At 35.9% G+C, this 12,480-nt stretch overlaps 1 protein-coding gene across 15 annotated transcripts in view; it reads left to right on the plus strand.

The window, feature by feature from the left end:
- The window catches only part of PCNX1 (pecanex 1), a 207,924-nt gene that overhangs the window by 11,781 nt on the left and 183,663 nt on the right, over positions 1-12,480 (plus strand). The window lies entirely within an intron of this gene.

Below are 12,480 nucleotides of genomic sequence, written 5' to 3' on the forward strand. Positions count from 1 at the left end.
ACAGTAGACAGAATTTTTCTTGAAGTATTTTTTAAATTTCAACTTTTTTAGTCCAAATTAAGGATGCATACTGCACTAACATATTGCATAAGAAATTTGATCTGATTTTTCCTATTCTTTGTAATTAATTTTCACAGCAAGCAACTGACAAGCAGAAATGTTTCTTTGAGAGAGACTGAGTGCCTCCTTCTGTTATCTGAGTTAAATGATTTTCCTGTGTCTCTTAGGAAAGCTGGAGGGGCTAAGAATTTTTTGGCAGGTGAGTTGAGACACCTGAGAGTAATAACACTAGAATAGCACAGACTAATAATATGGAGAAGAGAAGATTACAACAAACGTTCTATAGAGTTGATTGCTGTTGACTTCTTTAGCATATAGATGAACTTTACTAAATCCATATAGATGAACTTTACTAAATACTATAGATGAAATAAGTAGCTACTGATTCTGGTTCCTCTGGTTTCTCTGCTCCCCCCCCCCCCCCCCCCCCACCAAATAGGAGATGCTTTATTTGGTAGAATTGTAAAACAGTTCAGAGTTCTTCTTTTATCCCTGGAACCTGAGCAGTTGCATCTTTTATAACTTGCACTGTCAGTGCTAGTTGCTTTGTGTTACAAGAAAGAAAAGAAAACTTAGGGAAAAGGAAGTCATTTCCTTTGAGGTTTTAAGGGGGAAAAAAAAGTTGCATTCTGTAGAGCTTTGAACGAGCCAAATAGAACCCTGAGCGCCAACTGCCCTGAGAACAGGCAGGAAGATTAATCACAACTTTGAGAAGCTTGAATCACGTGTCTGGCTGTTTTCCTTTTCCTACCCCTCCTCACTCCTTGTTTGAGTGTTGTCTAGACATATACTCAACAGATCTAATTATTGCAGTTGTCATCTTTAAAACTTTACATTTTGTTATAATTTTAGATTTACAGACAAGTTGCAAAGATGGAGTTCCTGTATACCCTTCACCCAGTGTCCTCTAATACTAAAATGTTACATAACCATGGTTTCAAAAAATTAGAAATTAACATTAGTGCAATGCTATTAATGGACTATACACTTTATTTGGATTTCATCAGTTGTACTTTTTCTGTTTCAAGATCCTTCAGTCCAGGCCACTGTGTTGCATTTAGTATCATCTTTACTATGGCTTTCTTCTTTTCCCCTCACAGGCTAGAATTCTGTTCTTTGAGGATGTATACAATTTGTCAAATGTATCTTATGAGAAAAATTTGCAAAAGGTTTTACATCTATGATAGATACATTTCAGATGGACAAAAGAGAGGGAGAGTATTCTGAATATTTTTGAATAACCTAATACAGGCTAACCATTAACCTATATTAGGCTATTTTAAAACTGAGGTATTTTACATATGACAAATTTCGTAAAATGAAATAATTCCAAGATGAAAAAGACTAGAGCTCATTTATGACAGTATGGACACCTGTCTCTTGGCTCTCTGTATAATGCTGTTTTTACTAATTTATAAATTGAGGCTATGAGACAAGTACACAGCCATATTATAAGGTAGAATATGACTAATGCCTTGTGTGTCATAAAGTGCTCAGGAATTGGAAGGAGGATGTAATTATTTCCTAGAATGCTTTATGCAGAGGATATTCATACATTCAGAACCTTCACTGTGTGCTGGGTGCTGTGGTAGGCCTTATGGTGGGACCTTTATGAGGTTATTTGTGCTGGAATAGTGTTTCCATAATCTTCCCACTGGGCAAATTAATCTTTGTTCTGGGGAAAAGATTGTTCCTTAAAAGAATGTATGTTCTTGGATGTAGTGTTTTGCTCTGCTTAAGTATTCTAATTTATCTAACACATTAAGGGTTTCTCAGTGAGTTATTTTTTAGCTTCTGAGAATATTATTTATAACATTCTTGGTATGTATCTGGAATGGTTAAAAGAAATGATATAAAAACAAACAATTCAGAAAACCTAAATAAACCAATTTCATTTTCACTCAGCAGTATTTATGCCACAAATATACATTACACGTAATTTCCACAAGCCTCACAGACCCTCATGACCCTCATGACAAAACTGAAATGAACTTGGATGGGGAATAAAGAGGAATTTTGGGTTGTTTTTGGCATTTTACTAATGAAATCCTCAATTTCATATGTATTTGATTTATATATCAAGCAGTCCTCCCATCTGAGTCTCCTGAGTAGCTAGGACTACAGGTGTGAACCAACATGCCAGGCTAATTTTTGAATTTTTGTAGAGATAAGATCTGCCTATGTTGCCCAGGCTGGTAAAGATATTTTCAAAGTGAGAATAAAGATAGCTAATCTTAACAAAAATATGCTTTGTTACCAAAAATCTTACTTTACTCCCTTAATGTCACAGTATTGAATATTGAAGAATACCAGGATGTGTTATTGAAAAATATACTTAAAATACTTTAAATATACTTGAAGTGATCTTTTTTCAATTTCTGTATATGAAGATTTTCAAATGTATAAGAAAATTGAAAGAATGCTTCATCTAGATTCCACTATTATGAACCTTTTTGAAAAATCACATTTGTTTCAACTATATAAAGATGCATGGTATTTATCTGTACATACTCTGTCTCTCTTACACACATATCTGACTCAATTGACAGTATGTTGCAAACATTATGACACATCACCCCCTAAATGCTTCAGGCAATATTTTTAATTTGTCTATTGGTACATTTGGAGGGGGAGTTGTTTTTCAAAATATATGTCGGGATAGGTGATTCTGATGGCCATTCCAAGTTAACAGTCACTGTGCTGGGAGGTCTGTTATTTGTGAATGCCTGAAAACATCTTATTATTTCCTACTTAGGTTTTAGTTTAACTCATCTCCCTTTTTCAGCACTGAAGAAATTGCTGAGTAACTGATTCTGGCAATAATGTACACTTTTATGGTATGGATAATAGTACAACTTATATAGTGCTTTTTACCCAGTATGGTGTATTTATGGAGCATTTCACCCTTAAGTTAAAAATCCTTTGTTAAGTTTTTGTCATGAAAATAATACTAGTTGTAGAAATTATTCCAGACAGTAGTTAAGTATATATAGAAAACATGAATTTTTAAAAAATCTTTAATAGGTATTAGACAAAAACATGAATTTTTTTCTTGCAAACCTTTAATAGGTATTAGATGAAAACATGAATTTTTTTACAAACCTTTAATAGGGGAGAATTTTATAGCATGGAGAAAACCGGTAAATGTGAATACTATATATTTTAAGGTTATATAATAAAAATAGGGGAAATGTTATAAATAAAATAAAAAGTCTTCTGTTCTCTATCATCCACGCTACCAGTTCACATGCCTCAGAGATAATGGTTGTTTCCTCTTGGTAGTGTATATATACAAACATATATTCATATATGTATGTACTTGAAATAGCCAATGGGATTATATTTGTGTTGCAGGATCCACTGAAGTGCATGTAACTCTTCTTCATTTTTTGAACCATTTTAGAGTAATCCATTGTATAAATTATTGGTTCCCTAGTGGGGGACATTTAGGTCATTACCTTTTTTTTTTTTTTTTTGCTAGTGCAAACAATGCTGGGCAATATATTAGTGAACACTTACGTATATAAGACTTGTGGGATTTGTAGCATTAGTTTATAAAAATTACTGGGTCAAACGGTATGCACATTTAAAATCAAACTAGATGTTGCCAAATAATACCTCAAACAAATCTACCAATTTATATTCTCTCCAGGATGTGAAAGTATCTGTTTCCTTTTGTTTGTACCAACATTGGTTATTATGAATCTTTCTCAATGTGATAGTGTAAAATGGCATCTTGTTTTAATCTATGTTTCCTTAATCATGAATTCTTTGAGTATCTTTTCATATGCCTAGTAGACACACACACGTCTTTTTTCTTTTAACTGCCTTTTGTATATTTTGTCCTTTTCTGAAACGTTGTTTTTCTGTGATTTGTGAGAGTTCTATATATATGTAAAAATTAGTTATTGTGGTTTATTAAAGATTTCCCCTATTTTTATTATATAACCTTAAAATATATAGTATTCACATTTACCAGTTTTCTCCATGCTATAAAATTCTGCTCTATCAAAGGTTTGTAAAAAAATTCATGTTTTCATCTAATACCTATTAAGGGCTTGTAAGAAAAAAATTCATGTTTTTGTCTAATATCTATTAAAGATTTTTTTAAAATTCATGTTTTCTTCCAATACTTTTAAAATATGGCAATAAATTTGCATGATTAAAAACCAACAAAACTCCAAAAGATGATGAAAGGTTGCCGTTTTCTACCTGCACATGATCCTCCTGTTGTCCACTCGTGTACCACCTCCCACAAGAAACCACTATGAACAGTTTCTTGTGCATCCCACTGTAGCATAAAGATGAAAATTCAAATATATGTCTGCCTCTCCCCTACCATACTAGTGTATATACTGGCTTCCCCACCCCCCACTTAATATATCTTAAACATCTGTCCATCGGTAGCTAAGGGCTTCTTGAGTTGTTTTAATAGTGAATAGTATTCCATTGCCTGGATGTATTATTTAACCTGTTGCCAGCTGACAGATTTTTTTTTTAACAGCCTTTGCTAACACAAAACATGCTGCAGTAAATAATTTGCACAGTCATTTCACATGTGTCCAGGTACATTATTAAGATAAATTCCTATAAATAGGATTGCTTTGTCAAAGGGCTAATACTTCTGCAGTTTTGAAAGATACTGCCTAGGCTGGGCACTGTGGCTCACACCTGTAATCCCAGCACTTTGGGAGGCCGAGGCAGGCAGATTGCTTGAGTCCAGGAGTTCGAGACTAGCCTGGGCTCTATGGGGAAACCCTGTCTCTACAAAAAGTACAAAAAATTACCTGGGCATGTTAGTATGTGCCTGTAGTCCCAGCTACTTGGGAGGCTGAGGTGGGAGGATTGACTGAGCCTGGGAGGTCAAGACTATAGTGAGCCGAGATTGTGCCACTGCACTCCAGCCTGGGTGACACAGAGTGAGACTGTCTCAAAAAAAAAAAAAAAAAAGAAAAAGAAAAAACAGAAAAAAACCTACCAAATTGCCCTCAAGATATTTTAAAAGAAATCTGGTTTTAGAATGCATAGAAAAGTCTCAAAGATAGTGCAGAGAGATCCCGTATACACTGCATCCGGTTTCTCCTCTTGTTAACATCTTAGATTACTGTGGTGCATTTGTCACAACCAGTGAGCCAATACTGATACATCATTATTAACTTAAAGTTCATACTTTATTCAGATTTCTTTAGTTTTCACTTAATGTCCTTTTTCTGTTAGGTTCCATCCAAAACTTTTGATTTTAGTTTATTAATTTTGAACTAGTCACCTTATATAACTAGTTTATTCCTTTATTTTATTTTATTTTTGACACTGGGTCTAATTCTCTCACCCAGGCTGGAGTGCATGGCGTGATCATGGTTCACCACACCCTCCACTTCTCTGGGCTCAGGTGACCCTCCCACCTCAGCATCCTGAGTAGCTGGGCTGTAAGCACACACCCCACCACGCCTGGGTAATTTTTGTATTTTTTGTAAAGACAGGGTTTTGCTATGTTGCCCAGGCTGGTCTTGAGCTCCTGGGCTCAAGCAATCCACCCACATCAGCCTCCCAAACTGCTTGTTGGGATTACAGGCATGAGCCACTGCACCTGGCCTGAACTAGTTTATTCTTACATTGTTCTGTTGATTTTAAAGACATTTTCAGATATGCAATTATATTTGTAAATAACAGTTTTCACATCTGGTTTTTTTTTTTTTAATTTTTTATTGAGACAGAATCTCACTCTGTTGCCCAGACAGGAGTGCAGTGGTGCGATCTCAGCTCACTGCAACCTCCACCTCCTGGCTTCAAGTGATTCTCCTGCCTCAGACTCCCGAGTAGCTGGGATTACAGGCGTGCGCCACAACGTCCGGCTAATTTTTGTATTTTTAGTAGAGATGAGGTTTTGCCATGTTGGCCAGGCTGGTCTTGGACTCCGGACCTCAAGTGATCTGCCTGCTTCAGCCTCCCAAAGTGCTGGGATTACAAGCATGAGCCACGAAGCCCGGCTTGCGTTTTTACCTTATGTAATTGTTTTGCATGGTACCTTTACATCTTTATGTCTGTGTTAAATAATGTTGAAAATGAAGACAGCCTTGTCTAGTTCCTTACTTTAATGGGAATTCTAGTGTTTTACTGTCAAGCATACTGTTTTTGTTTGAAAAATAGATTTTTCCCCCCATTTTACAGAAATATTTCTGTATTCATTTTCCAGTGACTTCCGGTCATTCACTATCAGACTAATATTTACCTCTGTATTCTGAGGGCTCACAAATCTCACTTACCTCATCTTTTTTTTTTTTTTTTTTTTTCATGTAGCTCATCTTTGGTTGCCCTGAACTGTATCTACTCAGGTCTTTTTATTTGCTTGTCTTAATTTTGTCACTGTACTGCTTAAACATTATTAAAAATATCAAATATTTATTGTGCTGTTATATACCCATGCACCATATGCTTTCAAATGTTCTCATTTAATCCTCATCATAGCTTTGTGAGATGAAGATACTGTAAATCCCCTTTTGCAGAGGAGGAAACAGAGGCTCCTAGGGGTTAAATCACTGGCTCATGTTTACATAGATTGCCCCTGCCGTTTTTTCCTTTTGACCGCCATAGCCACCTTCCATCACCCTCCACCATCATACAAGATGCTTCTTTCTGATTAGTCTGCGTTTGAAAGCCTACCTGTGATTGATTTGACATGAACTGAGCATCTCCTGATCTTTTTCAGTGTATTCCGGGATCCAAAACTCAGAGCTGTCCTTCCCATCTCCATCTAGTTATATCCTTAATCTTGGCTCTCCTTCTTGACCAACATATTATGTGAATACAGTGGAAGCCCATTTAGTACAGTGTTTTCCCAGGGATTTAGTTATGGTTCTTGCATATACTTAAAGTGAGATAATTTGTGTCACTGGTCATTTGGGGCCAGGGTTAGCCTTGTTCTGTGGCACACATTATAAATGGATTTCATTAAACTTTTATGTGCTTTCACTTACTGGTCTAATGTGGGGTTCTTTCCTTGCTGTGCTTATATCAGATACTCTCTTGCCATTGCCCCTGCCGTCTCACCTGCTCCTTCACTCTCGCTACAGAGATGCAGCATTTACAGTCTGTGTATATCCTGCCCATTCCAGTTCAATATGAACAAAATTTGTACTGTAGCCCTTATGAATATGTAAATAGCAGCAAGAGAAGCACTTGCTGCCAATTGGCTGCATGTTTCAAGGAATGTAAACCTCTTTTGGGAGATTTTAACCTAACTTGAAACAGCAGTGCTGTAGGCCTCTAGTGGGTAGAAACCAAGGGGATTTTAAACCTCCTATAATGCACATGACAGCGCCCCACACCAAAGGATTGTCTGGCTTTAAGTGTCAACGGTGCCCACAGCGAGGAACATTGCCCCAGAGTTTATGTTCTCAGTGGGTGTGGTGTTACCCTCAAGGGGGCAGAAATTAACTCTTGAGGGATGCATGTGTGAAAAAAAAATCTTATTCTTTTTACATATAAAGTACAGATGTACATGCAGCACAAACAAGTGTGCAGTGTATCTGGTATTAAAATTTCACAGGGAGCGTGATGAGGAAAAGAATGTCTGAAAAGGCTACTTAGGAGGACAATAATGAAGAAAATGGGTGAGAAACACTGCATTGGAGGGAGACAGTATAGTTTAGTGCTTAAAAATGCAGGCTGTGGAGTCAGACTGGGTATCGCTTCACTTTCTGCCGCTTACCAGCTGTGGGCATATGACTTCATGGCCTCAGTTTTCTCCTTTAAAATTAAGATAATAACAGTACTTTCTTCAAAGGATTGTGGCAATATAATCCAGTGTATGTAGTGCTTGGTAAAACACTAAATTTGTCATTCTCCTAAGAAGCTCAAAGAGAGAAAGGATCATGTTTATTTCCGTATTAACATTCCTTAGTAGAATATCTGAGACTTAATAGGTGTTCAGTAAATTGTTGCATGAATGGATCAAGCTCCTGTTCTGTAAGTGTGTCTTAGTTGCCTTTATGGTGGTAGTAGGATATGCTCTTCTACGTTTTTAAATTTTTTTCTGTTAGGCATCTTTCACATTTACTTCACCTTAAATATAGTATGTTAAATGTGCGTAATTGTAGTACTTCTGTTTAAAGGTAGAAATGGATTATACAGCATGCAATAGTATCATTCTGTTTCAAGCAAATTGAGCTCAGGGCAAGTGTGATGGAAATGATATTTGGGTTCTGGTAATGCTCTTATGAGAGCTAATATACTTTTTACAGTTTATATATCTTATTGATTTTCATTCTCTCTCTTTTATTTATTTATTTATTTATTTATTTTTTTCTGGGAGGCAGTGTCTCACTCTCTTGCCCAGGCTGGAGTGCAGTGGTGCGATCTTGGCTCACTGCAACCTCTGCCTCCCAGGTTCAAGCGATTCTCCTGCCTCAGGCTCCCTAGTAATTGAGATTACAGGCGTGCACCACCAAGTCTCGCTAATTTTTATATTTTTAGTAGAGACAGTTTCACCATGTTGGCCAGACTGGTCTCAAACTCATGACCTCAAGTGATCCTCCCACCTTGGCCTCCCAAAGTGCTGGCATTACAGGTGTGAGCCACTGCGCCAGGCCTGATTTTCATTCTTGTGTTAGAATTCAGCTTGCGGTTTCTTCTACTAAATGTTAGTGAAACAGAAAAGAATATAAGCAAAATAATTTTTGATCTAATTTTTGTATATATTAATATTTCATTTTAAAATATTTATTTTTACTTAATTCTCATAGTTTGACTCTTCCTTTGACCTAATACTTTCATTATTGAATTATTTTGATTCTTAAAAGCTTTAAATTTGAGTTACTGTTATTATTTTGTGCTTGCTTATTATACTACGTCTATAAGAATATAGTTATACTTTTATATAGGAGCAAGGAGAATCTCATTGTTTTTAATGTATTTGCTCATAAGGTAATCCCATTAAATGTATCCTGAACTGGCATTTTGTGAGGTATGTTAAAACAATAACCTAGCTGCTATTCTTCAGAATTGCAGTGTCATGTTGACAGAATTTGTTAATGAATGCTTACTTTTACTTAATTGTGAATCCTGAAAAAATGTTGCAATAGAATATATCAGGAACAAATGGGAGAAACAGGATAGGTAAAGCTATTTAAGTTGGACTTGCCATGAGACAGCTTTGGTCCTCATATTTACCATTTAGAAATTCAGTGTTTATCAATTTACTGTGGGATTTACTTAGACTGATAAATAAAAGAGTGATTTATACAGTAAAATATTGTTACTAATTTACAAAAGGAAATATTAATGAAGATAGTTCTTAGTGTAGGGCACCTTTTCCTTTTTCCAGAATGGTTAGGTTTACTAAGAAAATCACATATAAATCAAAACATTGTTAGTGCCTCTCAAGTTATATTCCTATATAGCCATTCTTTCAGTTTTTACTTTGGGAATTTTGGGGTAAAGAATGGCATGCAGTCTCCAGATGATACCATCCGGATAATACTGGGAGACAAATCTGTACCAGACTATTTCTTTAATATGCATACATACCTCTACCTTTCTGCTTTATTTTAATAACCAGTTATAATTCTCAGACATAGCAGTTTTTAAAACCGTTACACTTTTGGCTTGCTGCTACTTGATGGTTTGGGAATAGGTACCTTAATCTCATCAGAAAACCATTTCAACACATAGGATAGGATGAGTTAGTTTTGTAAAAGGTTTTTGTGAATCACCATTTCTATCTATAAAGTTTAGATTGTTGGGTATGTTCTATTCCGGGGCCTCTTTGTTACCTTCATTTTTGAAAAATTTCAAAGTGTGCTATCTTTAACAAATGCTTCTAGATAGGAATTGTTTGGATACCCTTTTGGGATTACATGAAAATTATTATTTCTTTTGTTCTCTACAGTGATCTAAAGATGCTTTTGGAAACTCGGGGAAAGCTCTGCTGTACATTCAGTGTTTTTTTTTTTCCCCTCTTACCGTCTTGCTCTTGTTTTGAAGCATTCTATCTCTAGTCTACCATATGACTATATATATTTGATTATTAGGCTAGGTGCCCCCTGACCCAAAAGTATCCCTCAGCCAAGAAGGAATTATATTATCTGACTTATTACAAAGTCTTTTGTATTACTTTCCACTTGCCCAGTTACTGTTTTTCATCCAGTTGTTTTTCTTGTGTGTGTTTGTAGCAACATGACTTGATTTTTAAACAGTTTTTTAAAATTTAGCATAGCTAATCATAACTGTTACTAGGGTTATAACTTAATAATTTGCAAGTGTTGGATGTCATTAACACTTGTTGGATTAAGTTAAAAAGTAGCTTATGGAGATAAGAATATGTACTTATGTGATGAGTGAAAAAAAGAAAAGTTGTCCTAATTAAGTACAAATGGACATTTGGTTACACAGAATTCCTAGGAACAGCATCATACAGAAAGTGTTAGAACTCAAACTTATACTGAAATGATGATGTAGATGTGCTATGTAAACCTGTGTTAGGTAACTCATAATGACTTCTGTGATGAAGAAACTTCTGTTGCTAAAAATATGTGAATAAATTGGACAAAATCATTTCATGAAATAGAGTAGAAAGGATATACGTAACATTTTAATTATGAGGACATTGACTTTCACCAGAATTTATAGATTCAAATTGTATAAATGATTTTCTTTCTTTAAATAAAAGTATAGGAAAAATTCTATAATGTACATAAGATTATTTTAGTCCATCAGTATACATCCTCACATTTATTTGTTGGGTTTTTTTCTTCATCCCTTATTTTTCATGTCTGTGCCCTTTCTTCTCATGCATGTGTGTGTGCCTGTGCATATGTTGTGTGTGTGTATGTGTGTATGTGTTTGTGTGTTTTTAAGGGACAGGGTCTCCCTATGTTGCCTAGGCTGGAGTGCAGTGGCTGCTCACAGGTACAGTCATAGGACACTGCAGCCTTGAACTTTTGGGCTCAAGCAGTCCTACCACCTCAGCCTTCCAAAGAGCTGGGGCTACAGGCGAATGTCACTGTACCTGGCTTCATATGGATCAAGCTGCTCATCTCTAACTCCTGGCTTAGTGACTTCTGCCCTGAGTAATAGACTCAATCTCTGTTGCCGATGAGTTGCATGTGCTATGTTATTTTAGTCTCTTTTCAGCTAGGTGATGTGGCATAAATTTTGACTGTTACCTCCCTAAGAACAGCATTCTATTGTAGCTAAAAATATAAATATTAATTCAAATGTAGGTTATGGAGTGACAAACAGATTTTTAAAAGATAGATACAGATTTTTAAAAAAGATAATATCTATTATTTTTAATTCTATTTATATTAAAATATTTATGTAGCAGACATTTGCAGAAATACAGGTAGGCTCAAGTTCCAATAGCTCACTTGTAAACCAGTTGCCTTTGGGGAAAATGCACTGTGAGTTTGTACACAGGTTCCCAGCTGGCCCTCTGAAATTAGTTTGGCCCTGTGTAGTTAGCTCAGTAGAATATTATGTTTTTTTTTTTCCTTTGGGAAAGTATGCCTGAATCTCAACATTGAGAGTACTTTTCTCCTTTTCCTCTGCAGCTCCATCCTCTGAAAGGAGACTTCTAACTGGAATGCTTTACCTCAATCCCCAAAGGAGACTGTGGCAAGAGGGCTAAATCCCTGGAGCCATGGCCATTGATATCAGGGCCTTTTCTGAGTCCTTTGGGGGGCAGCTTATATATGGAAAACTGTAAGCCTTATTAAAAACATTCATATTCTTTCTGATCCCTCTTAATTAACATTTTCTAAATTTATAGGTAATATTTGAGTACTAAACCCTTCTTTCTCCCTTCTCACCAGCATTCTCTCCATCCACCAAGAATGAAAGGTGGGAGAGCTATGGAACTGAATTGCAAACACTGCAGGAATTAACTTGCCCATTTTCTTTGGGAAAAAGCCAAAGGGGGTTTTTCTATCATTGTGAGTAAGTAGAGGTGTTCCCAACTCCCCACCCCTTCAGGCATACCAGTAAAAAAGCTAAAACTTGAGGCCAATTGGCCATCTTAAGAGCTTTACAAAAAAATGGTTAATTCTTTTTCCCATTAGTAATTTGCCCACAATGTAAACAGCCATAGGATGGACTGATTTTTAGGCAGACAGTAGAAAGAAGGCAGCACTGCTATTGTTACAAATGTTTAGTTTTCATCTCCTGAAAGAGTGTTAAGAAAAGTTAGTCCAGATATACTGATGGATGGAACTTACAATTTACGATAGGATTAGTGTGCCCGTTTGTGTGTTTTCCCCATGTCTAGGGCATAAGGCATACTGCTTTCAAATTCTGCTAATTTTTGTTTTCATCTGCCAGATTTTTTTGGTATTATTTAATTTTTAGTTCTTTTTCTACAAGATACTATTAGCAGAACAGACAGAACTTTAAAGCCAAAAAAATTAAGTTCAGTTTTTCGCAATA

The sequence above is a fragment of the Homo sapiens genome, chromosome 14 (assembly GCF_000001405.40).
Source record: "Homo sapiens chromosome 14, GRCh38.p14 Primary Assembly".
NCBI classification, from domain to species: domain Eukaryota; kingdom Metazoa; phylum Chordata; class Mammalia; order Primates; family Hominidae; genus Homo; species Homo sapiens.